The 27,675-nt window shown below is 38.2% G+C and overlaps 1 protein-coding gene across 9 annotated transcripts in view, besides 1 other annotated feature; it reads left to right on the top strand.

Annotated features, from left to right (window-relative positions):
- TAPT1 (transmembrane anterior posterior transformation 1) overlaps nt 1–27,675 on the top strand; it is a 66,886-nt gene that overhangs the window by 6,721 nt on the left and 32,490 nt on the right. For 5 of the 9 annotated variants that reach the window (XM_047449754.1, XM_011513812.4, NM_153365.3 and 2 more), the window contains exons 2-3: nt 6,772–6,902; nt 18,090–18,208. In XM_047449754.1, the coding sequence (XP_047305710.1) occupies nt 18,093–18,208 (116 nt within the window). In that variant the 5' untranslated portion in view covers nt 6,772–6,902; nt 18,090–18,092. Of the gene's footprint in view, nt 1–5,593; nt 6,231–6,771; nt 6,903–18,089; nt 18,209–18,332; nt 23,066–23,946; nt 24,013–27,675 lie in introns of those variants that run through there. The other 4 variants (XM_047449755.1, XM_047449756.1, XM_047449757.1 and 1 more) reach the window with 4 other exon arrangements.
- Nucleotides 14,815–14,864: a silencer, noted in NCBI's record as "silent region_15303". NCBI's record gives its function as "represses an Ori minimal core promoter by ATAC-STARR-seq in GM12878 lymphoblastoid cells {active_cell/tissue: GM12878}" and the evidence as "EXISTENCE:reporter gene assay evidence [ECO:0000049][PMID:35858748]".

Raw genomic sequence — 27,675 nt, 5'->3', positions numbered from 1 at the left:
TCAAGCAATTCTCCTACTTCAGCCTCCCAAGTAGCTGGGACTGCAGGCGTGCACCACCATGCCCAGCAAATTTTGGTATTTTTAGTAGAGACGGGGTTTCACCATGTTGGCCAGGATGGTCTCCATCTCTTGACATTGGGATCCACCCGCCTTGGCCTCCCAAAGTGTCTATTTTTAAAAAACTTTTACTGAATGATATTTCTTCCTGGTAAGATTGGGATAAATGAACTAAGATTAATTGACATCTTAAAAACTGAAATCAGTGTTCAGAAAGTAAATATTTGGATTATTGGAAAAATACTTATTTTTAAAACGTAGAGGTAGATGTTTGGCATAACAAATGAGAGTGACTGTTTTGCTTAGAAGGAATGAAATACTGCAAAAGTCTGACAGAAGTTAAGATGTACTTAGCTGTCAGAGTTCTTGGTGATACCCATAGGTAAAGAACAGTGGCTTTGCTAAATAATTAACCAGTCAACTGTAGCCAAAATTATAGGACAGATAAGTTCAGATAGGTCTATAGAATTCTAGAGAGCAATGTTTAACAAAATAAAAACAAGCGAAACACTGAAACGCAGGTATACCTCGGCACTGGAGATTGAGTGGCGCTCTGGGAAATGCAGCCTTCTCCAGGAAAAGGTGGGAATGGTCCTGGCAGAGCAGAAGCAGCGAGGCTAACTCGATGGCTCTGGCAGTGAGGCACTGTACCCTCCTACCTCCTTCACCATGAATCACAGCCAAATTATAATTGTCAGAGAGATGGTTGATCATTTTGATGTAGGGGAGAGAGCACGCTGGACTAGGTACTATTCCCAATTTGTCACTTAGCTTTTCAATGACTTTGGACAAGTCTCTCAACTTCTGTGAACCTCAGTTTTTTCATAATATGAAAATGGACAAAATATGGACACCATTAATTGCTCTGTTTAACTCTCATGATTGTTGCAAGAATTGTATGAAGTAATGTGTGCAAGACCTTTGTAAACTGCCTTATACTATAAAGTAGAAGGATCCTAATCCCTAAAATAAAGCCACTTACGCAGGAGTAGGTGAGAAGGAGGTAAGACAAAGCTTTCAAGATATTTACCTTATGAAACTTTGTTGTTGTGGTTAGTATTTCTTTAGTGTATCATTTAAAACCATTCCCCAGCCTATTAGCATCGCGCTAATTGTACGCAAAGTTTACCCTTACATTCAGAACTCACCGGCAGGGCTGGACTTCGAGAATATAGGGATACATGGGGCCTGCTCTTAGAAAGTTCATGGTCTTGTAAGGGAGCAACTAGTAAAGAGTGTAGCTTCACAGAAGTCAGCCCAAGCTGCAGTGGGAGCACAGGTAAAGGGGAGGGACAGAGGGCTCCTAATTTTCCAGAAGTAACACAGTGGCCTGTTTACAAAGGCACTTGAGGCAATAATAGGCAAAGCTATCTAATGGTGAAAAGCACACTCTCTAGCCATAGACTGCTTGACTTTGAATTCTGGCTTTTCTGCTTGCTTCCTGTGTGACCTTGGAGATCTCCTTAGCCTCTCTGGGCCTTGGTTTCTTCATCTGCAAAATGGGCATAACAGTAGAACCTGTTTCATAGTTGTGAGAGCTGTACACTCAAAATAGGTTATGTTTTTATTTGACTTTTTATATTCTCCATTGTAGAATCTAAACTAGTGTTTATAATTAAAATTCTTGGATATCTAGAGGTAGAATCCAGACATTGTATTGTTTTGTACTTGTAATTAAAACACTCAGTATTTATGTTGTATGATAACATGTTTACAGAAAATTACTTAGATGATATATGTTGTTAAATATACTTATTTGTCATATTACCTTTTAATGATAGAGCTAGGATTGCAGAAATAAACATTAGATAACCACCAAACCAGAACTGATTAATACTACAGTACTTGTGAAGTTAATATGAAGTAGTTGAAGACACTGCGTCATGCTTTGCAGTTTTTATATACTTTCATACAAATACTGTCTTAGTCCTTTGATGATTCTGTGGATAAGGCAAACAGCTGACAGGTATTAAAAAACTGCTCTAAGCTTCCATTTTCTTTTCGGTGAAATTGACATCTGTGACTGGAGCAGGGTCACAGGACTAATGTTTAAGACAGCTGGTACCAGGACAGCCTTCCTCTGGTTGCTAATCCCATGCTCTTCTGTGGATCATAACACAACTCTCATTATGGTCAAAGCTGTCATCTCCAGTCACCAGAGAAGACACCATTGTGGAGAATAATTTTCCAAATAAACCTCTTTTTCTTGAGATGGAGTTTCACTCTTGTCACCCAGGCTGGAGTACAGTACACGATCTCGGCTCACTGCAGCCTCTGCCTCTGGGTTTCAAGTGATTCTCCTGCCTCAGCCTCCCAAGTAGCTGGGATTACAGGCACCTGCCACCACACCTGGCTAATTTTTTGTATTTTTAGTAGAGACGGGGTTTCGCCATTTTGGACAGGCTGGTCTCAAACTCCTGACCTCAGGTGATCCTCCCACCTTGGCCTCCCAAAATTGATGGGATTACGGGCGTGAGCCACTATGCCCGGCCCCAAATAAACCTTTTTATTTAATTTGCTTTTTAAAATTGAAAATGATTGTGCAGTAATGTGTTTCTGTATCTCTTTAACCCAGATGGCATTCTTGTGGGCTGCGTAATTTCTTTCCTTGCACTTAGTGTGGACAATGAGGATCTCCTTATTCCCAAACCCAGGGCACTCACTGGCTGTGACTGCATCATGGTACCCTGTTCCCTCAGGGGGTTTGAGGTTCAGGTACCCGTTGGGTTACCTTTACAGTCACTTAGCTACACATACAGAGTAGAGGCTCCTGAATCAGCAGCAGCTGCTACCTTGAGTGAAGCTTTTCACTCCTTCCCTGCTAACTCCCCAAGTCTCAGAACAATTCTGTCACAATCACAAGTTCTTTTCTCAAGTATCTGGAATGCTCTTCTTTTGTCATGTCTGATTTTTGTTTTATATTGGTACGTTGTTATTTATTAAGCAATTCCATTACTATTGAACATTTTGATTAATTCCAGTTTTGTTTTCATATAGATCATCTTTCAATAGAGAAATTCAGCGGTAAAGAAAAATGAGAAAATACCAGAAATTATCATATCAGAAGGGACAAATCACCCACATGAAAGTTTAGCTCAGTTTGCTGTTCACATCACTTCCTCAATTCTTTGTCGGTTCTGTTCTTTGCTGCCTGACTCCTAAAGAGACTAATTTGGCCACTCCGTTTTATGTCTAATTCTTTCTTTTCTTAGTCACTTCCCTTTCCATTTCATTTTTAGCTTCTCACTGTCTGATTCTGTTTTTGTTCTCTATGATTTTTCTTCTTCTCCTCTGACCTGTATATTGTTTTAGCAAAGATTTGTTGAGTACCTGTTATGTGCTGGGTCCCAGTGATGCAAAGGTGAATGAGAAAACCAGACAAGAAAATGAATGTAGTATACTGCAGAAAATCATAGGCAGGTGCAGGTACTGTGGAAGCCGAGTAGGGGAAAGGACAGACTCTGCCTGAGAAACTTAGGGAAGTCTTCACAGAGAGGGTACCGTCTGGGCATGTTCACTCCTGGAAAATTGGTAGGGGATTCTCAGACCAAGGAGCAGTGTGAACCCATTGACGTGTTTGGGAGAAATGAAAAGTAGTATAAAAAGAAAATTGTGACCTAGAGATTCAGGGGAGGCAGGTGTGAAGCATGACTAAAGAGATGGCCTGTGTCCAGTTGTAGAGGTTCTGGGATGGCCCGCACTGAGAAGGTAGGACTTTATTCTGGAGGTAATGAAGAACCACTGAAGGGTTTCAGCAGAACCATATCTGATCTGTGTGAGCTGCTGACTGGCTGCCAGGTGGAGTTAGCATTGAAGGGAGGAAAGATGGGAAGAATGGTACTCAATCAAGAAGCTTTTGCAATAACCTGGAGAGAGATGGAGAGGACTAAACCAGGGTGGAGTATAGGAAAAAGGGGAAAAAAGTTAATGTTTTAAAGGAAGAATTGGTAGACCTTGGTAAGAAGAGAGAGGGGATTGTCAAGATTGGCCCTGGGCTTCTAGGGCAGCAAGTATGTCACTGGTAATGCCAGGAACTGAAGTCAGGACTCCAGGAGAGGTGCTGAATCAGTGGGCAAGATACTGGTTTCGTTTTTTAGGTAATTTCCGTGTCTATGGGATGTCCAGGTAGAGGAGGCTGTTGGAAATATGACTCAATAGCCAGAGCTGAAGATGTGATTTTAGGATTTTGATGATGGTTTTAATTTTAGTTAGGAATCTATAGGAAACAAAGCATGTGTAGGAAACAGAGTAGGTATAGGGAATAAATACAAGAAAGAATGATGAGGACATATTGGAGAATACCATCATTAAAGGATGGCTGACATGTTACTGTAGTGAATAGAGCACTGAACCAGCAAACACTTAAGGATCGGGTACAGGAGGAAGGGCTACCAAAGAGACTCAGATGAGAAAAATCAGCCATTCAAGACAGAAGAGCACCACTGAATCAGGTTTAGGTGACATGGAGGGACAGGGAAGCTGCTGTCCGGAGAGTGTGGTGAAGTGGCCTCTGGGGTTCAAAATTCAGAGTTCACTAAGGTCAGTGAAAAATTATATATGTGGAATCTCCTCTGCTTTCTGAAAGTCCTGTTGCTTCTCGATTTTTACATGAAAGAACTGATACTTGTAGATACTAACTAATCAAAACATACTTTTTTTCCTGATTGGAAAACTGACTGAACTGAGTATGATTTGTTTATCTTTCATTAGTCTTGGCTGTTTTTGTTTGCAACTCAAAAGGTTTTCTTTTTCTCACCTTGAAAGAGCAGATCTTGTTCTGGTTCTAGCCAGCGTAGAACATATTAGAAAGTTCCTAACCAGAAGTTCTACTCTATGTGGATTTGGTTAGACTAAGTCCTTTAAATCCAAACATCTGTTAATTTATACAATAGAGTTTACATATTGCGTGCACTTAACCCATGTGACTTCAACTGTAAATGTATTGAAAAGAGAAAGTACGACACATGTAGATAGATTCCGCCTCCTGTTGCGTGAGGCTGGCAAAGGTGGAAAGAAGTCTGCTTTCTTCTTCTGTTTCAACTCCAGGTATCTCTCATGGTAACACTGACTCCCCAGACAGATTATGAATCTGGTATTTAAAGAAGTGTGTATGTGTATGTGTGTACATACACATATATATGGAATAAACCCTAACATAAGCAAGCCACTTGACATAATACTCAAAGAACCAGGAATCCGTTTTAATGCTGGAGGAAGTAAGCTGTTGTAGACCTATTGTTTAAAACCATAGTCAAGTTGGCTTCTAAGTCTTTCCAAGGGCTTTTAAGGAGATATATATATATATTTTGTTGTTGTTGTTTTGAGACACAGTCCTGCTGTGTCACCTACGCTGGAGTGCAGTGGCGTGATCTCGGCTTACTGCAACCTCTGCCTCCTGGGTTCAAGCGATTCTCTTGCCTCAGCCTCCCAAGCAGCTGGGACTACAGGCGCCCACCGGCACGCCCGGCTAATTTTTTTTTGTACTTTTAGTAGATAGGTTTCACTATGTTGGCCAGGCTGGTCTTGAACTCCTGACCTCGTGATCTGCCCACCTCGGCCTCCCAAAGTGTTGGGATTACAGGCGTGAGCCACCGTGCCTGGCCAAGGATATTTTTTACTATAAACGCTTCCCCCCTCACATGTAGGCTTTAGATCATAGTACTCCTAGAAGGTGCAACTCCTTAAGTAGATCTGCATAAATGAAATCAACCTTCCTCCCTTGTCATTTTTTGGAGGGAACATTAAGACCACATTTGGTAGAAAGGACCACAAGGCCAGCTCAGAGCAAAGAGAACAGTGGACAGTTGGAAACCTTTTGGTAACCTGCGTTCTGGAAGAGAGTTTACCTCCTGCAGAGTAAAAGTAGGAAGCTGTAGATGAAGTAAGGGGTGCTGAGGGTCATTGAGGGGATGGGCTATCAGGGAAGTGTAATGCACTGGGAAGAGGTGGGGTCGAGCATCCAGAGCCTTCGCTTCTCACCTCAAGCTTCCAGTTGTAGTGAGTGGAAAGTATATAAATAACTTCCTTTGACCTTGTTTTTCTCACCTGAGATGAGATAACTATGGAGTAATTTGCTTTAGAGGAACAGAGGAAAAACACGGGTGAATGGAAAGATCCAAGGAAAGGGAGGTTTTTCTGATCCGGTTGAGGTTGCACTTCGCGTAATAACTATTGTGAGTATCATGTTGGTAAGTCTTCATGTAGGGAAATGGCATTATTTAGATGTTTGTGCAGGATCTCTGAGGCTAAACTAAGAAGGGAGCTGGGGCACCAGTATCCATGTAGTTCATCCAGGATGGTTCTTGGACTAAAGTGGTGCCCGTTGTGTGACTTTGCTCCCTTTTGACTCTATATATTGCTCTATTTTATATATTCTTGACACCTACTGATTTTCCTTCCATGTCTGTCAGTCCAGGTACTGTATCACCTGTAAGAACCAAGACTGAGCTCTTGAAAAATACTTTTCTGACTATTCTAGCCCTTAATAATTATTCCTTTCCATATTCCTGTGGCATTTTCAGGTTATACCACAAAGAAGAATACTTTTCTCAAAAATACTTGCTGATCATTGTGTGCAGTTCTAGGCATAGAATTATAGATAACATTTATTTTGGTCTCTTTGTTTTATATGTATATTACCTGTGGCCCCAGCTAGCGTGGAAGTTCCTTGATAAATACTGTTCTTTTTGTTTTCTGTCATTTTCTTTTCTGTAGAGCTTTCATTGTTGAGGTTCCTCAGTGCTGAACTAACAAGAGGGTACTTCCTTGAACATAATGAGGCCAAGTATACAGAAAGAAGAGAAAGAGTATACACTTGTTTGCGAATACCAAGAGAATTGGAAAAGGTACTATTTTTTCTTCATTACCAGACATCATTTTGAAAGTTATGTCAAAGTATTAATTATGCAAAAAAATGGTCAACAGCTAGAGTTGAGTTTTTTAAATAATTGAAATAATGTTATTGGGGGAGTAGAAATTTCCTTACAGGAAGAAGCTTTAAAGTTACATTTTTTAGTGTAAGACCCAGTGATAGGATATTAATAGATCTATCAAAATCTGAACTTTTCTGCCTATCATTATCATTGTGTGCTACATCAAAATAACTTTTGTAAGGAATTAATCTCTACTTCTGTACCCTTTTAGTTCCCTTCAGTTCTCTTTTACTAGAAACAGGTTTTTTTTCCCCCATTCAGCATGATAAATTATTTAATTTCAGCCTTTTTAAAGGTTTCAGTTTCTCAGAAAGCCCACATGTTTATAAACATACAGGACAGTCTCTTCAAAGAAAAAGATGGTTTGTTTAATCTTTATCACAGGAAGCATCACATTACAGGGTGAGTGTAGTAACAGCAGCACTACATCTTCACGTGTCTTATTCCTTGGCTGTGCCTTATCCTATCAAGACCAATAAAATAGGCTGGGAAAGCAGCCCCTTCTCCCCTAGGCGATGCTAGAGTTGGTGAGTCTAAGCAATTCCAAAATTTCTTGCTAAAAGAAAAGAAGAAATAATTCAGCTTCAGCTATATTGAAACATGTTTTCATACTTCTGTAGTAACGTAAATCTTGTAATAGTCCAGTCGTCTTCTTAGAATCATACTTTCTGTTGGAGTGGCTATCAGAAGAGTTTGGTTGGCTGGATTTATTGGTACATTGTAGTAACAAGAGGTACTGCAGGCAATGAGGAGTAAGGACCCAGCTGGTTTGGCTGATGTTCTATTTCTGATAGTCTATCAGTTTAATAGAAGAAAAAGAGCGAAATGTAGAGTGACAGTTTCAGAAATGTTGCTTTATGTAGGTTCTTGGTGAAGCGTCACTTGCTGAAGTTTTAGGGAGTTCTGTATTAGGGTGGGATTTAGAGAGCTGGTGAGCAAGCAAAGATTAGAGAACAAATATGGCAGTGGTTTGATTGCCTTTGGCAAGGATCATTAAATATGCTCAACTATTACTGTATTCCTGCATTTCTAGAGGACTAGAGTTCCCTGGGGGGGCCTGAGGGACTTACAGATAAGGAGGGAGGAGGAGTGGGCAGGGCTCTCCACAGCACTCCTCTCCAGCGCAGCAACAGCTCTGTCTTATACATTGAGATTTATCGAAGATTTTGTTTGGGGAAAGGAGTAGGGTAGGCGGATGTTTCTTTTACTTGGAAAAAAATAAAAGATTAAACCAGTTCTTGTGTCTTAAAAGACTGTTAGCTTGCTTTGCAGCTTTCTTCCAGCAATAAGCCATGAGATGGAAGTGTGAGGACACAGTGCAGGGGAAGTGGGAAGGACAGCCTGCCAGGGCCTGTATTTGGACAGGATAGTGCCAGCCACAATCAGCTTTTGCCCACCTGGCCTCAGCCCTCTACAGGGGAATTTGTTTCCTGTCTTTCTGAGTAGTTATGAACTCCCATTTTTCTCTGGGGAGAACACAGAGGGATTTGCCTGCAACTCCCACCAAACTTTATGAACACAACCAGGGGACTGCTTCAAAGTGGGTTGGTATCTGTCTCACCCCTTTTATTACCCCTCCTGTGGCAAAACTAATGAGCAGTGGCAACATCCACTCCTGATTTTGTTACCTCAGCAGAGACAGGCTGGTTTCACGCTTCCTTCTTTCTTTCTCTTAAGGCAACACTGAAATAGCAAGCAATGTTTTGGGGTAGATTTCTCACAGAAACTAATAAGCATTTCATGGTTGTAATTATGAGTATAAATTGTTTTCTGGAGAAAATAGCTTATACTTATGTCTTGATGAGACTAAAGTATAAACCAGTGATTCTAAATTGTGGTCCACTATAGAACCACTAATGGGTCAAGTAATCAGTATAAGTTGCCATCAGAATTTTTTTTTTAAGAAAATAGAAGAAGTATTAGAGAACATTGCCTATACTAAGAATAAGTATTGTTTCATGAAACTTTGGTTCCATTTGTATGAATGTAAATGTATAATGTCAGAAAAGTTGCATCAACACTGCTCATACACAATTGTAATAATTTTCTAATGATTTTTGTTTTCCCTGAGAGAGGCTTTAGGCCTGTTTGGGAAAATTTGATGTAGTCTCTTAGAACAATACTTAAGAAGCTTTGTAGCCTAAATGTACAAAAGAACATCATGATTTTCTGTTTGGAGCATTTTTTCTTAACTTCTAAAACCAAGTGGGATGTAGAGGAAAGCCAATTTAGGTTTCAGTTTAATTCCAGGCTTAAATATCTCTCATAACTGCATGAATTCACTCTGCTATCTTTAAGGCCTTTATTTTTTATAAGTAGGATTTCACTTAAAGTTTTTATTATGAGTTGAGAGCCTATCTAGACATGCAAGATAACCTAAATAATTTTTTATTGGCTTTTTTTGTTTACATTGTCTATTCTAATATATAATATCTTACTCATTTTTTTTCTTTTTTCGATGAATGCTATGATATTTTCACCTAACCTTTTCAGGAAGAGAAACTTGAAAATTAAAGCGCACTTTGCTTCTACAAAGGTTGCAAACACCATAAAACATGTAATTAATTTTTATATTTTAAGATAAAGGTCAACTTAATATGTCTTATCAAACCTGTTTACTAATGTGAAAAAAAAAACACCCCAATTTTTGTGTTGTATTGTCATTGGATAAATACCTTATACTTGACATTTAGTAAAAATGAATTGCTTATATATTTTACATAGTATTTCCAATTATTAGCACATTATTTTCACTCTTAAACTTCTTATTTTAAGCTAAGGGTATATAATTTTGGAGTGTTTTATTGGCTTTTGAGAGACATTTCTTCTCTTCCACCATAAATGTCCTCCCCTGACCCTACAACCCCTTGGGTTCTATGTACCAGATCTTCTGCTGTTTATGTAGTCCACTTTGGGAACTTTATTTTTCTTTTTTATACAACCAAGGAGATTAAACTATACTTTCTCTGCCTTCTAAATTGAGAGGCAAGATAGCAAAGTGTTTAAGGGGATCATCTCTAAAGCCGAACTGTCTAACTCTGAGTCTTGGCTTCACAGTTGATTGGCTGTGAGTCCTTGAGCAATTCACTTAATCATTCTCTGCCTAAGTTGTCTCATCTATATATTAATTATATGGTAAGCATGTAAAATTTTTCACAACCTTCACATCAGCAACTCAGGGGGAATGCACTACTCTGCTAGAGTGAGAGGAATTTAAAGGTTGCTTGTCCCCGATTACATTCTGGTGGATGTAATATTTTTCTTTGCAGTAGGGATAGCTTTCATCTTTGGGATGTGCACAGCAGGAGGTGATTGGGAGAGGTGTGGTTTTTAGGATTTCCCTGTGTCCCAGTTTTATCTCACATTATACTTTTAATCTCCCTGCTTTGCTTGCCACTAAATTCGACTTTGCTAACCCTGCAAGGGGCATGATTTTCTGGCTCTTGGCCCTCTTGGGTTGCTGACCATAGGCAGAAAAAACCTCTAGGGAAAGCTGTCTTCTTTCCTCTTTCCTTTTACCTAGGCTGTCTGGGGGTAAAGCTGATCTCTTTCATGAAGAACATAACCAATGGCCATGAGAGATGATAACACACCCTGACATTTTCTGCCAAGCCCTATAGAGTCTGGCCTCAATGGGCACATGCCTGAAGCCTACAGTTATAACAGAAACAGGGTGCTTTAACCAGAGGCTTGGTGAAATCAAGGGCAGGGAGCACCAGTTTCCTAAAGAGGAAATTCCTGGTGAGTGAGTTCTCACTGTCCCATACCCCACCTTGACTTGGACACTTACATCCCACCTCTTGTATCCATTTCTGTGTGAATAATAAATAATGTTTGTTATGTAAGGATTAGGTGTCAGATACTGTCCTAGGCATTTTACATGTGTTTGCGTTCAATCCATTCAACAGCCTCACAAGATATATATACTATTAAAGCTCCAATTCCTTTGTCCACCCCACGGTGGCAGTTCTTCATTGACTTCCAGACAGATCTCTCCTTCCACCATTGTTTGGTGGAGGTATGTGCTAGTAGTATATGCTCTCCATTTAGGTCCCCTAGGAACAGTTTACCATGCATCAGGTACAAAATTGTCCCTTGTCTAAGGACTAATTTTGTCATCTTTGTGAATCTAAAGCTACAGTAAATAGTAAAGAAATACACATTATAGGATCTTCTAAAATTTCCTGTTATGTTTAAATTCAAATTTAGAAAGATAAAGATCACTTACACACTTAATTATTAATTTGCTCCATCTATATTTTGAGTACTTTCTATGTTCCAAGAAGGCACTTTTGCAGTGCAAAATACAGAGATAAGACTCACACCTAGCTTAGGAGATATCAGATCCATAAGTTATTATAATACAGGATACAACGTGACAAGTGCTTTTAAATAGTACAAATAAAATATGAAGAATTTAGAGAAGGGGAAGTGTGCCTAGACAACAGACCTGGGACGAGGATCCAGGAAGGAAAAAGAGAGAGATTTTGTCGTATATGCTTTGTAGGATGGGGTGGCTATGCTAGGAAGATCCAGAGGTGGAAAATTGTTAGGTGTGAACAGGAAACCACCGACACATGCTGGAAAGAAAGATAGACTGGCCAACCTAGGCAATGTGGCAAAACGCTGTCTCTACAAAAAATACAAAAATTAGCCAGGAGTGGTAGTGCACGCCTGTAGTCCTAGCTACTCGAGAGACTGAGGCAGAAGGATTGCTTGAGCCCCAGAGGCAGAGGTTGCTCTGAGCTAAGATCATGCAACTGTACTCCAGCCTGGGCAACAGAGTGAGACCCTATCTCAAAAAAAGAGATAGGCTAGATCCAGTTATGTTGAATGGTCAGGCTGGAGAGTTTAGAGTTGAGTCTATGGAAGGAGACTATTAAATATATATTTCTTAGGAATGCTTTTAGCTGTATAGAATGGAAAAGCTGGCTAACAGTCATTTAAACAAGTAGGAAATTATTTTTTTCAACAAATCTAGAAGAAAAGAGGTCTCAGTTGTTGCAGCAGATTAATGAAGCTGTCACGGACCCAAGTCCTTTTCATCTTTCTATTTTGCCATCCTTGGCAAATTGGCTTTGGGTCCTCTTGCTTGTTGTCTTCTAGTAGAAAGATGACGGCTGCAACCTCGGCATTACATCTGCATTATAAACAAAGAAATGGGGTGGGCATTGCCACTTTTTTGACTATGCCTTTTATAAAGATTGAAAGATTTCCCAGACGTGGCCTGGAATACTTCCACTTCTGTCTTATTGTCCAAACTGAGCTACATAGCCATTCCCAGCTGCAAAGGAGGCTAGGACAGTGAATGTTAGGCTTTTCCAACAAACAGAAAAGAACTGAGAATGGTTATTGGGTTAGCCATCCGTCAGAGCTTTCTTTCTGGAAAATTAGTATAGTCATATTCAACATGGACTGGAAATGAGACAAGCAGGGAGAGCTCAAGATCCTTCCATGAATATAGTTAATATATAATTTAATTCTACAATTAAAATTCTAATTTAATTCTACAATTACATAATTTAATTCTACAAATTAAAATCTTCATTTGATTTACTTATTCCCCTCTCATGGTATTTATTTCTTGGGTTAAATATGTCAGATGTATGTTGTGGATTATCATGAAGCCTTTTAGCAATATTCTTTTCCGTGTTTATATATGTTCATGTAAGCTTGCATATCTGGTTAAACTAAAATGAAAATATTCTGTTGACTTTTCTTTACCTTGTAATTCTGTGCTTTTTGGCAATTCATTATTTCATTGTTACCATGCCTTGTACATTATAGCTATTTAATACATTTTTCTAAAAATTAAATTCAACTGCTTAAATAGAATGACTTAGTTTTCTTACCAATGTAGCAAATTTTTATAAGCCTTAAATTTGTCAGATTGAAGGTGTAAGTATTGATATATTGTTATTACTAGGCATAGACTATTATTGTTGAAAGGGGGAAGGGTTACTGTCATACAGGGGAATTATTTGTAATCAAGCATCAACAACCTTAGCTTCTTGAGTCTGTTTGTAATAGCTGAGGCCTGATCAAGGCATCAGATCTCTCTTGGGTTTTACTTTCTTCTATGATTAGAAGGTTGTACCTAGGTCATCTCAAGAGGTCTAATAGTGCATGATTCATTGAATGAGTTTGCCTGTGAGGAATGGTGAGGGTAGATGGAAAGATTTAAATGTCTAGTGGAGTAACTTAATTTTGCCTTTTTGAAGGTCGTGGTGGGGTTAACATTTAGGAAAAAATAATCCAAAAGTTCATTTCAAACGAACGGACTTCAAATGTCATATAAAGCCTTTTTGTTTTATGTCAGTGTGAGGATATGTTAAGAAAACGTAATGACTATTGTTTCCCCTTTATTTCAGTAAAACAGTCCTGGGATTTCATTGTGAAACTAATAGAGAGTATTTACTCAGACCCATATTTATGGCAGTGTTTTCTTGGGCATCCTAGTCAGTTTCTGATTTCATAAAAACATGTTCAGAGAATCATCCCTCTAAATTCTTCTCATAATGCAGCTCTTGCTGGTGACACACCCTTGTGCAGATGTTCCCCCTCCTTGTCCCCCAGCCCCTGCTGTGTGGCTGCTGAGAAGCAGGAAAGCCAGTAGGGATCCACATGTCTCAGAATCTCAGCAGCCTTGGCTGGTGCTTCTCCCCTTCTCTCCGAGGCTTGTCACACCCTGCTTGTGGTGGTAGTGACCACAGCTTCCACGTTCTTTCTGCAACTGTCTTACCATTCTTAATTTTCTCAGGGGAGGTTGGGCATATGAGACTCATCAGATAGTTCTAAGACAAGCCAGCAAAGCCTTTAGGCCTCTAGCACATTTATTAATGTATTTAAAAGATAATTTTTGAACTTGGCACCATGGGGCCATGTTTATCTTTGTGAATCAATCACTTATTTCTCTCATTTCAGCTTTGGAAACAGTCTTAAATTTCTCTTCTCTGTCTTTCCATTGTCCTATGTCAGGCTGCTGTGATCATTCACACTGATGGCTCTTCTCCTTCCGTACTGTCCTCTCTGCTCACTGCAGCCTGCTGTGGTGCTTCGTGCTGACCACTCCCTAGAAAGTCGATCTCATCCTAGATAGAAGGTGTAGGATCAGAGCCTAGAGCCGCAGCTAAGACCTCTGTTCCTTAGGTGACACTCAGTCTTGCCCTGGGACCCTGAGGGCACTCCTGCCTTGCTGCATCATTCCAGCCTCTCAGCAGGAGCACCACAGCCCTGTCTAAGCCCTGTCTGTAGCAAGCAAAATACCAAGTAATAGTTCCTGCCTGGTGGGTTGTTGTGAGGATCAAGTTAATGTGGGTCACGTGCTTAAAATATAACAGTATTCAACATGGATTGGAAGTAAGAGAAGCAAGAAAGTCTCAGGATCATTCTATGTGCATAGTCCTACAAATTAAAATCAATTGACTTGTTTTCCATGGCTGCATATGCTTACATAGCTTGCCTATCGTAAGAGAACTTGGCTCATGATAATCCCTTTGTTGGCCATCTCCTAGAGTATAGACTTTCTGGGGCATGAATTTTTTAATTCGGATGATTAAAATGATTTTATTGTAGGGATGACCTTGAATCTGCAGTAATTGCTTTCAAAGTCAGTCATTTATAGTTTTCTTATTGATATCCTGTTCCCCTTAACATTCTGCTGATTGTTGATCCCTATATGTGAGTTTATTGAGAACATCTTCATTCTCAGCAGAGATTTATCAAAATGTACATGTTTCAAAATAACCTAATCATCTTCAGGTACCTCTTTAAAATAAAAGAGCTATAAGTGAAAACAGTCAAAAGACAAGGATACCTTGGAACCTAAGAATGAAAATTTGAGCTCCTTAGCAATGAACTGAACGTGATTTTTATGCCTCTTGCATAATGATTATATCCTAACCTCACCACTAGGAGGCTACTCACATTGTACCTGTGCATGCTCTTTCCTTGGTTTGAAATTCGGTCCTCTTTACTGCCTGGCAAAATCTAGTGCCTGTCTTCTCTCCTCTGTGGGACATCTCTGCTATCTCTTGCACCTCCTTCCCTGTGGTGTGCATGCCACTCTCACCTGCCCCCAAATACACACGCTTTACAGACCCAGGCTCTTCACCTGTGTTTCCAGAGCACATCATTCATCTGGCACTTAGCATGCGGTTTGTGTCAAGCTCACTGGGTTGTGAATTCCCTGGAGAGGATGTCTTTCCTCCCAGTGCAGTATTAAGCAAGATATGGTCTCTGCTTTTACAGGAGTAGACCCAGAGCTTTAGCACAAGCTTTATAAAAGTGAGACTAAGCCTCTTTACTCCTACTTTCTAACACCCTAGACCAGCGATCCTCGACTAGCAGGTGGTATTTGGTGGTTGTGGTGGAGGAGATGGTATTCAGAATTTCCAGAAGATGGTTAGTGTAATTCAAGGAGATATATTGCAAAATCATTATGCTTCTTTCATTTTAGCCATAACATTTTGTTTATTTTGAAATTTCAAATGGTGCTAAAAGAAGGGCAGGAGATTTTTGTCATAAAGGGACACGTAGATTTTTTAAAAGGTGAAGAAACCCTGCTTCATTCCCCACAGAAAGAGGCTGGCGTTTTTACTTGTTTATTTCTCTTGAGGCAGGTATTTTTCAGATGCTAAGTGCAGTACTATTAGGTTCAAAATAAATATGATAAGAGCAGGTTGTAGAAATTTTCACAAGTGAATATTTTGTTTACTTACAATGTCACAGGATAATTTTCATTTTGTAATTTCCTTAGCATTAAAGTTCAGATGTTAAAAACTTATGTTAAACTTTATTTTAAAATGTGTATAATGGTAAATCCAGTGGTGAGTGAGGCCAGAAGGATGAGTGAAAGTGTCATTAGTAGAAATAGTGCTTCAGTTTTCTGCAGACTGAGTGAAGTCCTGGCTCTGCCTCCACCACTCAAGAACCCAGGCCAACTCCTTGTCTCACTGCAGAGTGTGGGTGGTACTAGACTGCGGCCATGCACAGGCAGGGCCCAAGCCCAGCACCTGGCCAGTGCCCGGTTGCGTTGCCCAGAACCTGTAGAAGGCTTCTGAAGTCCTTCCAGAAAAGATCTCTCAGAGACAGAGAGCCTGGTGAACATTTCTGTCCTTTTATTGTTTTCACTTATAACTCTTTTTATTTTAAAGAAGTACCTGAAGATATTAATTAAGCAAAAGATTATTTTGAAACATGTACATTTTGATAAATCGCTGCTGAGAATGAATTTTAGAAAATATTTTAAAATTATATGTCTGCAGTTTGTAACTCAGTACTTTTAATTCAGTTTTGCACAAAGAACTTCCCAGTGTGTTCCCACTCGTATACTCTTCTGCAAAGCTTTCTGTAGTCAGTTTGAGCTGAACTGTCTTCAGTGCTTTGGAAGCTGCCTAGGAAGGAACTAAATTTCAGCCTGGCTGCCTATCCGGGACCTGATTTTCAGACTGAGTTGCAACTTTTTAGTGGATCACAAACGCTCCTGGGAACATCAGGTTTCTGGCAGTTTCTGCCCTCAGTACTGAACCAGCAGTCCACTCGCAAGGACGGAAAGGCTTCTCAGTGATAGGAGAGTAATAGAAAAGGACCATGAACTCTATCTATATGGACCTTGCTCAGCCTCCTGCTGTACTGCTTTGTGTGTAAGACAAGAAAACATGCAACACTGGGACTCTACGCTAATCTACCACACGTGACTCTATGCTAATCTAGCATCGTATTTTCACTGCTGTTCATAATGAGTCTAAATTGTTAAAAACAAAAAAAGGGCCTATATATTCAGATTAAGAAATCTGGCAAATATTATGTGTAGCATATTTTTGAGATATTTTTATCAAAAATTAATAAAGTGTATTCTTTCATTTAAAGACATGTGAATTTGTTTGCTAGGGCTGCCATAACAAAGTACCATAGACTGGGTGGTTTAAACAACAGACATTTATTATCTTGCAGTTCTGGAAGCTGGAAGTGTGCAATCGAGTGTCAGTGGGGTAGTTTCTTCTGAGGCCTCTTCTTGGCTTGCAGATGGCTGCCTTCCTCTTCGGTCTTCATATTATCTCTCCTCTGTCTGTGCCTGTGTCCAAATTTCCTCTTTTATAAGGACTCCAGTCACACTGGATTAGGGCCCACCCTAATGACCTAAACTTAAATTACCTCTTTAAAGACCCTATGTCCAAGCACGGTTACATTCTAAGGTACCAACATAGGAACTTAAATTACCTCTTTAAAGACCCTATGTCCAAGCACGGTTACATTCTGAGGTTCCAACATAGGAACTTGATAGAGAGGACACAGTTCAGCCTGTAACTATGAATTTTAATCTGTGGAGGCAGGGCAATTTATTGACTAAAGATACATGGATGCTGTGGTGAGGGCATATGTATCATACCATAATTGTGTGTCAGACATACAGAAAGTTGCCACTCTTAAAATGAGTAGCTGAGTTTGTTAGCCTAGTGGTGGCTACTTGGCCAAGTCCTCGAAAGACTTCACCCTCTTTCTGTGAAATATAGTCCTAAACTTAACAAGTAAGAGTGTCTAATGATACCACAAAAAGAAAGGGTATGGCAAGTACTCAAGAAAGGAGGAGAAATATAAACACTAGGAGGCTGGTCCTGGAATTAAGAATAAGGCCTTCTGAGTGCAGCAAGTTTCAGTGCACATGAAATTGTGTTAAAGTTAGTGATCAGTTTGCATATTTTTAACATAAACAATATTGTAACTCAATATATATTCCAGTCTTTCCCATCAATGAAGCATTCTAATAAACAGGAATAGCAAAATTATGAGGAATAAAGATTTTCCATAATATCTAGAGCTTGAGGAAGTACTCAGAAAGCCGCATCAGATGATGTGCCATTAACTATGGTCAAGGGCAACTTGTTTTTGAGTAATTTCTTTTGTGAGTCGTAAACCAAAGGCTCTGAGGAAGCACAGACTCACTCTTTGAAGAGAAGAACTGTTAATTTGTTATTCCCAGGGCTAAGTTTTAAGAAATTAATTTTTTATAATGTTTAGAAATTCTGGTTGTTTGGAATTTTCATCTACAAGTATTTTTAAAATACTTTTTTTTTTTCTTCTCTCCTTGTTAAAATTCAGCTGATGGTTTTTGGAATCTTTCTGTGCCTGGATGCGTTTTTGTATGTGTTCACCCTGCTTCCTTTAAGAGTTTTCCTGGCACTATTCAGGCTCCTCACTTTGCCTTGCTATGGCTTAAGGTAAGTTTAAGATCGTTAACTATTGTAAATGTATAGTATTTCATTATTTTTAATACTTGTAGTGGTTGCAGAGTAAGGATAATTCATACAGTTTCATCCACACTTTGGCCCTTCATGCATAAACTGTTTACCTTTTTAATGGATATTATATAATATGTTTATATAATATTAAGCTTTTTATATGCTTATTTTTTTCCAGAATTGTTTTGAACCGAAACTTTGCTTTAGCCGGTAAAATAATGTTAATGCTGGAGGCTTTGTAGCAGTGTAGAAAGGACCCGGGTCTGAAAGTCAAAGACCTACTTATCACGTTCTTAACTCACCTGGGCCTTTATTTCCCCAAAGTCCTTGGGCCTCGTAGGCATCATCTGTGGAAAGGACAGGGTTCTAGGCTGGAGTGGAAAAGGAATCTCCTCAGGAGCTCTTACTGCAAGTGTTCCTCCTCCATTTCATTTGAGAATCATTGTAATGATCTGTGGAGCCTTAGTTACTGGTTATGGACGAGACTGATTTGTGAGAGTGGAAAAACTCTGGAAGACCATTGTCCCCACGGGGAAGATCAGAGAGCCCGACCCGACATTGATTAGCTTGTGAGCTGTGCACAACAGCCTGACTTCTCTAAGTGTGCTTCCCCATCAGCAAAAAGGGGGTATTGAGAGCTCAGCATCTTTTACCACAAAGATTGGAAGATGTAAAAAAAATACCCAGCATAGTACCTGGCTCATAGTAGACCAGAACAGATAATCTGTTTTCTTCTTTTTCTTCTCTACCAAAACTCAGAATAGTAAGGTGAAGATGTTAAGCTTACATGAAGCTTAATGCTTTATTGGTCTTGAGGTTAAAAGCGAGTTTGGCTTTTACGGTTTTCTTTCTTTGTACAATTATGCCGGTGTGTCTCCACTCTGTATATAGTCACTCTTCACAGCATTTTTATTGAGTTCTTAGCATAGATGTCGAGGTTACATTTCTGACATGCATCACTTTTCTACATACATTTCATGCTGGAAAAGTTCTAAAATGCTAAAATGGACAATAATTTGTGAGACTTCATTGAACTATGGTGACTGTTCCGTGGTGTATAAAATATATAATTAATAAAATAATTTAACCATAGCAGTTGAGTTAAAAATTAGTGGTCGATATACACATTTATATGGTTTGTTTTTTTAAAAGACTGAAGCCATGAAAGGTTCTTTTTTAAAGTAGTAAATGAGCGTATACTTGATATTTAGTAACACATACAGTCTTTTTAAAAATAAGACAATCAGTTTTGATAGAAATTCCTCCCAGTATAAATTGGAATAATTATTATGATGATCACATTATAAAAGGATTTAAAATGCTTGTTTTGCAAGATTACATGGAGTAAAACAATTATAAAAATTCAGCTCCTGTCATTGTTATATGCTATATTCTGTAACTTACTTGCCTTCCAGGATAACAGTGAATTAGTGTTACATATTTTATTAATCACAAGTTAATCAAATGGGAAGGTAGTTTTAGAAATTTAGTTATTTGCTTTAAGGCATTTCTAGTACATCCTTTTTTCTTTTGGGAGAAGTTTTAAGAAGGCCTTATTATTAACAAGCCTTTTTAAAGGCATTTGTAGCGTGGTGCATTAATACTAACAAAACCTAACCACAATAAACTATTTTCTTTTATCACTCCTGGGAGCTTCATGATATCATGGCATTTTAGTTCATTTTCAGAAGACCCAAATACAATCTAATAGAACATTACCAAATATACATCTTTATTTGGAACGGGATAAAGCGAATAGAAACATGGAAATTTAGATAAAGTCAGGTGAAACACATGACATAAAATTACTAATATTGCTGGATGTGGTGGCTCATGCCTGTAATCTCAGCACTTTGGGAGGCCAAGGTAGGAGGATCGCTAGAGGCCAGGAGTTCAAGACCAGCCTGGGCAACATAGTAAGAACTTGTCTCTACAAAAAATTTAAAAAATTAGCCAGACATGGTGGCACATGTCTGTGGTCCCAGCTACACCAGAGGCTGAGAGGTTGGAAAATCACTTGACCCTGAGAAGTCAAGGCTGCAGTGAGCCATGATTATGCCACTGCACTCCAGCCTGGGTGATGAGTGAGACCCTGTCTCAAGTAAAGAAAGAAAATAACTAATACTATGTAGGGCTTTTCACATCTACATTATGAGCTACATTACTTTTTAGTTATTCTTTGATCAACAGTGTGCGTCAAGTTCATGTTCTAGCCATCTTTATGTGGACGGCTTTTAAAGACATGTCATGTTCTTAGTGGCTGTTGGCACAATGTGGTAAAACATTAAAATGATAGATAAGCTAATGACTGTATTCCTTCTGGAGTGGTCCCTTCCTTGGGCATTGGTTAGCACACGTATGAGGTATACTAAGTAACAGTGGTGATTTGCCAGTGATCCCAAGGGTCTCTCTTCGGGGACAGTTGTTTGAAGTTCCACCTTGTTATATTGTACAGGCATCTAAAACTGTGTTGCACTCAAGTTCATTTCTGTGTAGCCCCTGTTACGTGGGGGTACAGGGCACATAAAATAGCATTAGAAGAGTCTTTTCTAGACCAGCACGGTGGTACACACCTGTCATCTTAGAACTTTGGGAGGCCAAGGTGGGAGGGTAGCTTGAGGCCAGGAGTTAAGACTAGCCTGGGCAACATAGCGAGACCCTGTCTCTACAAAAAATAAAAAATTAGCCAGTTGTGGTGGCACATACATGTAGTCCCAGCTACTTGGGAGGCTGAGGTAGGAGGATTCCTTGAGCCCAGGAATTCGAGGCTGCAGTAAGCTGTGATTGCACCACTGCATTCCATCCTGGTTGACAGAGCAAGACTGTCTCTTTAAAAAAAAAAAATTCTTAAAGTGTTTGTTCTAAAAACTAAAAGATGTTACAGGGAACTGGGAAATCTTAAATCCTCTGCCAGTATTTACTTTTACTAGTGGTTAATGATCCCTACCTCTAACCTTTTTTAGATATTTTAAGATTTTTTGTAGTGCATAAGATGATTGCTTTCTTACATTAGTTTGAAATACTTTGAATCTAAATTAATTTGAGTATCATTTGAAAATAAGATGTTTTCTTTTTTCAAAGTTTTATAGCTAAAATGACACTAGAGGGCAGCCTGTTACACATGACATTTAAGACTCCATTGAGGATTTCCCCTGCAAACACTTCTTACTATTTCTGCTTTGGATTAACTGAAAAATTAATTTCATGCTATCACTAATAAATACTTATATGTATAAAAACATGAAATGCAGTTAAAATTATATAACTGTTTCAGCAATTTTAAATGATAGGAGTTTAAATGAAACTTAAATTTTCATTTAAATTTTAAATGAAACGGAGTTCAGGCAATTATAAATGCTTTGAGGATAGGCCAGGTTACACAGAATATGAAAATCCTGCCTAATGTCTTAGTGCCTTAAGTATGGTTTATCAAAATTGAGTAATTTGTGCTTACAGTAATATAGGCTGCAATTTTTGTTTCTTTGAGCAATTTAGAAAATATCTCTTTGAGCATTATTTTTAAAGTCACGAAACTTGAAATATTTGATAAGGTAAAAGTTACATAAACAAAGCTATTGTTAATATTAAGTCTAAGACCTTTCAAATATTTTGGAATATAAAAATACTTTTTAGGTTTACCAAATGATTATTTAGAAATAGCCAGATTTTGCCTTCTGATAGCTTTTATTCCTGTGTTTTCTACTTCCATTAAAGATTATTCGATTTGTCTTGCCTGTAGTGATGTCATGTTCCATCCTTTTCAGCAAGCAAAAAGTGCTCTTTCCTTCAGTCTGACTTTATTTTTTTCAAAGAAATAAGAAGAAGTGAAATAGACTGGCAAAGAAGTTGATTGCAATTTTTTAAATAATTTTTTTTTTTCACTCTCCTGTATTTCAATCTTCTTTCTGTAAAAACTTACTGTCTTCCTAGTCTCTTTGTTCTTTGAAATTGTTTTCACAAAAGGGAGGAAACAGTCCATTTGTCAAATTAATCACAATGCTGACGTGAAAACAGTAACTCTTTGCAGACTCTAGAACTGTTTGGTTCAGTATCACATCAATAATGTAAATTATTGCCTTCTTTTTATATTTGAGATCAGTGTTCTCACCTCATCTGTTTGCAGATTTACATCTTGTACAGCATTTGTGAGAAGCTTTTTAAAGCACATAGACCCCCGTGTTCTCTGCTTCATAACTTAATATTTGAACCTATTTCTAGTTCTTCTGCAAACTTGCCATGGTTTTTGACTTAAGTAAAATAAAGACCCTGTCCCTTCACTAAGGCTGAGGACAAGGGTGGTTCTACAGTGCCTTAAGTAAACCCAGCCTTCATCATGATGGCTCATCCAGCAGGGTGTTTTGCTGGCTTTGACCCTGTTGTTTAAGTACTGTTCATTATGAGATGTTGGCAGGGTAATTATCTGCAGTCATATTTGTGTGTGGTGTTTGCCAAGGATGCACTCCCTCCCTAAAAGTTAATGTCTGTCCTCAGTGATCTCAAGAATACTTCACTGAAATAGTTTCTGATGAATTAACAACCTTGAAAAATCTTTGCCCACAAATATTTTGTTGTAGACTTAAAAAAAAAATTAGAAAATGCATCTAAATTCTTTAAAAGCAGATTCACTTATGTATATCTTCCCTCTTTCCCAGATAAGAGTAGTGTCATTTTAGAAATCATTTGAGAAACTTCTTGAACGAGGATAATCTTTTTAATGATTCATGACATATAAAACAGAACTAAGTTTTGATTTATTATATGAAGTGTCTATTCCTTGGAAGAATGATAGAATTTTTTGTTTTTCAGAAAAGCAGACTGCTCTATATTATGTTAGAGGTACGAAACATCCTTTTTCCAAATTTGCTTGTAGAATTGAATGAAAAATAGCTAATTATGTACATTTGATTTACCTGGCATTTTTGTCAGCCCTCTATTCTCCTGAAATTTGTGACTTCGTTTTGTGCTTTAGAATTCTCAGTCACGTAAGTTAAAAGTTAAAGAAGATTGTAGAGAAAAATGATATAGCCTGGTACCAAGAATTGAGTTATTGTTGAAAAAACTTTACTGAAACATTTTAGAAAGTGATACATGAGTTGAACAGGCTTAAGTAATAAATGCCGGAGTGTTTTTTGGTTTTTGTTTTTTACTATTAGAGCAACTAAAATATGTGTGAGCAAATGTTCTGTCCCCTGGCCCGGCTTTAGGCATAACTCTCACATGAGGCTTCACAGGCTTTTATTTTTCTTGGTTGAAGAGGCAATAGTATCATTTTCTTTTGAGAGTTTATCCCATGGGAGAGCTCTTGTCTCCCAGAATTATGAATTTCAGATGCTTGAGAGTTTCCTAACCTTTTGAGTTTCCTTCGTATGCCTTACCTCTTTCGAAATAGTTCTGCCCAAGATTAACCTCACCTATATGTTATAATAGATTTTTCTCTTTTTAGACAAAATTAAGCCTTGATTTTGGCCTAAGTGATTGATGCCACCACTGTAGCACAAGTAGGGAGAGCTCTTGGTAACTTTCTCTGGGGAAACAAATATGCCTTTTACTTCCTTTTACCAGGGCTGATCTATGTGGCTTATTTGTTGAGAGCAATATATTTGTTATTAGAAAGTCTTCGTAACACCAGGTTTTATTGTCCCGTTTCCTCACCATGGAGCTCTAAGTAGCGTAGCAACATTACAATCTTCTCTCTTTCTTTCTCTCTCGTAAATCAGACCGAAGGGAGGAGCACTTTCACTTCCTTTATAGAATGGAATGTGGTGGCACAGGGACTCCTTGTGGTGAGTAAACCCTGATTTTTCCTTCTATACTCTTGGCCAAATTGACATTCATTAAATGCAAAAGTAAACAGGATAGGCAGACATAGCCATTAGGGGGTAGAAACATACTGAAGAAAATGTGGATCCCTGTCCTTTTTAAAATAGCATCTTTACTTGGTCTTAAAGCTTTGTCCACATTTCTTTGTGAAGGATTTGACTGTGATTTCACCTAACATGAAAATCCGCTCAAAAGTCATCTTTACACATGTTAGCTTAGACTTAGCAAATACTTCATCCCCAAAGCCACAGAAATTGGCTGAGCTTAATTCCTTCCATATAAGCAGTTTTTATTTTGCATTACTAAAATTGTGAACATAGCTTTATAAATAAGTTATTTTTTTCAGTATAGTTTGAAATTAAAGTTTAAGAAATGGTTTGAATCATTCCGTTTAAGTATTTATTTTTCTGTTACATATGAGTCAAACTGAAGATTTAAGATACTTAATTTTCTAATTCAGGAAAACATCTTGATTTCACTACTTTATTCCAGTTTACTTAAATTATAAAAGGATTTCACTTTCAAAAATAAAAACATATTATTTTGCATTTTTATTTCAGTAGTGCTTGTGTTTCTTCACTCTTCCAATTATACCACAAATGGCTGAAAATATTGAGAGAGAGCGAGAGATCTAGTCTATGTATTTTGTAATGAAATAACTCATGCTAATACTCTGGCATGTTTCAACACTGATTTGAAATAACTATGCAGGGATTCTCCCATTTTTCTCGCTCATTTTTGGTGCCACATCTTCCTTCTTGATCTTTCTGTCCACTACTAGATGTTACTTTAATCATAGTTAGCATATTATCTTCCCCTAAAGAGGAAAAGGAAACAGCTTACCCTTGATCGTCTTTCTCTACTGTATAATTCAGTTTCTGTAAGTCTATGAGCCCTTTGAAACAACTAGAGATGCTCTAACTGGTAAATTGTACAATGTAAAATTGTACAGTTACCAGAAATACAATGGAAATGGAAATGTTTGTAAGAATAAAAAGTAAAATTTTGGAAATTTAGCTAATTTGGTTTCTGTAAGGGTGGTTTTACTAGAAATTTTTAAAAGAATTCTGTTTAAATGTCTTATGTTGAAAAATGTTTAAGTTTTGTTAAATACCTGATGTAATATTACTTGTGTGATGACATACACCCAAACCTGCAAATTAGATTAGTGGGTTTTTCACTTTGCCCAACAGTATGTTTCACTTGTTTATGCTTTCATATGGGGTTTTCATCATTTGCAAGGTGAATTGCCAGTAACCACCACTTAGCCATTTATAAGAACTGTAGCATGAAAGTATTTTTCAAAAGCCAGTTCGGGGTTGAATGGCAGGGCCTTGGATAAGCTTCTTAGGGAGTTTGAAGTGCTTATCAGATAGTCATCTAAAAATATCCTGGCAGAGAAGGAACAAATAAACTGATTGGTTCAAGTTGTTTTAACCAGGTAAACTTATTTGTGAGGTTAGGTCTTTTCTTAGAAAGAGGCTGTGGTACATACAGCTGTCTTTTAAGATGCCACCTTAGAAACAATTTTTTATTTTGGCAGCCTTTCTTTTTTATTAACAAGGACATTTATATGAAAACAAGACCCTTATCGGGCACGGTGGCTCAAGCCTGTAATCCCAGCCCTTTGGGAGGCCGAGGCCGGTGGATCACCTGAGGTCAGGAGTTCAAGACCATCCTGGCCAACATGGTGAAACCCTGTCTGTACTAAAAATACAAAAAATAAGAAGAAGAAGAAGAAGAAGAAGAAGAAGAAGAAGACAGAAATCAAGACCCTTGTTTTTTAAAGGTTCTGCTTCTTGTATTCTTTATATGAATAATATTCCTCCTGAAAATCACAGTCATTCCTGCAGCAACCAATTATGATGTTAGCAATGGATGGAACGCTTCCACCAGAGCAGGGGGTGCACAGAAAGCAGTGAATTCAATATGTGTATATCGTATATATATCATAATAGTCCAGTTTTTTTTTGCGTTCATTTTTAGAAATACCAAATGATAGATAGGTTTGTTTTTTTGTACAGCAATTTATTGAGATGAGATTGCGGTACAGTGATAAAGTATCCAGTGTAAAATTTTACAGAAAGATAGTAGGTTCTGAGTTGTTGATTCCTGCAAGTTTAGAAGTTCTGTTTTAAAAAGTCTAGAGTGCAGATGTTTCTGAAGAGCATGCCTTCTGGAGCCAGGTTGCCAAGTTTCCATCCCTGCTGCACCGTGTGGGAACTTAATCACTGTACAACCACAGGCATGTTCCTGACTGTCCCTTGGCTCATTTGTAAAACCAAGATGATTAAATAAATAGGATTATTGTGAACACTGAAAGGAATATATGTGGAGTGTCTAGAACAGTGCTTGCCACGTAGTAACTGAATTGTAGCATTAGGTGTTTCTACAACTTTTCTTTGTTAATTTATCAGCTTGGTTCAAAAAGTGTGGTATTATATCATTTTGGGATATGTGTTTCCAATGTTTGGTAGATCTAATTTCTAACTATGGCTTGTATTAAATATACTATTCCTTCATTGATATACTAACACGTTGTTCTTTGATTCAAAATATGTATATAAAGAAACACAATTGGATATATACTTAAAAGCCCTTTGTCTCAAATAAAATTGCTCTGACTGAGATCACTCAACTAAGTAGATGCCATCTAATACGAAAAGCTCTAAGTATAGTTTTCTACTTTAATTAGTTATCAAAATTATTTTCATAATTAACACAAATTAATACTACCCTACTTTTAGCTCGTATCATTTTCTTTAATTTATAAACATGACTTACAGTCTTTAAACACAAAAGCCCATGACTGTTGATGATGTGTGACTTTCAGTATATGCTGAGCTGTGCTACTCTTCTGAGTGGGGGCTGGTGGCTCACGTTTGTTCCCTGCTGCCCAAGTGGAGACAGTCACACCAAGGCCAGGAGCTCACAAGTGTTCAAAACGTCTCCTCTTCTCAGTGTTTGAATGAGAAATATGTTTAAGTGATCAAGATCCAATTCTTGGCAGATATAATAGGTCTTCCATTTTCAGTCTTGTAGGGATAAGGGCAGGAAATTATCTTGATATTCAGGTAGCCCTTGGCAGAGATCTGTGCTCTGGGCTGGTTGGTTGGGAGTCAGGAGATGAAGGACATTCTTTGTTCCCTGAGGAGAAAAAGGTCTCTCTTTCTCTCTGTGGGAGAAAGAGGAACATCATTGGATAAAAGAAAGTCATGGTGAAAAAGAAATAATGACAGAGATTGATCAACTTTGGCCGTGATGCAATCTTTCCTGAAGCCTTAACTTCAACTGCTAAGAGTAGTTTTACTTGGCTTTTCATACCCATCTTAAGTCATGTGATCTGACTTAGACACATTCTGACCTCTCTCTTATTTAGGCTCATTGGTCCAGCCCAGTGTATTTCCAGCCACCTTTAGCCCTTCGTGAACAGTCTTCACAGAATTTGTCTGCTTTCAGAATTTCTGCAATATCTTAGATTCTGTCTGTAAATAGATCAGCCAAATTAATATCTAACTGAAAACATCATACAGTGCACATTGTAGAAAACAAGAATGAGTTTCTGTAACAACTGCTCACAGAATTGGTAGAGCATCATTGTGACCTTATAAAGCAATGTTTCAAGT

The sequence above is a fragment of the Homo sapiens genome, chromosome 4, assembly GCF_000001405.40.
Source record: "Homo sapiens chromosome 4, GRCh38.p14 Primary Assembly".
Taxonomy (NCBI): domain Eukaryota; kingdom Metazoa; phylum Chordata; class Mammalia; order Primates; family Hominidae; genus Homo; species Homo sapiens.
Note: the sequence above shows the minus strand (reverse complement) of the source record. Positions and strands in the feature narration are given on the sequence as shown.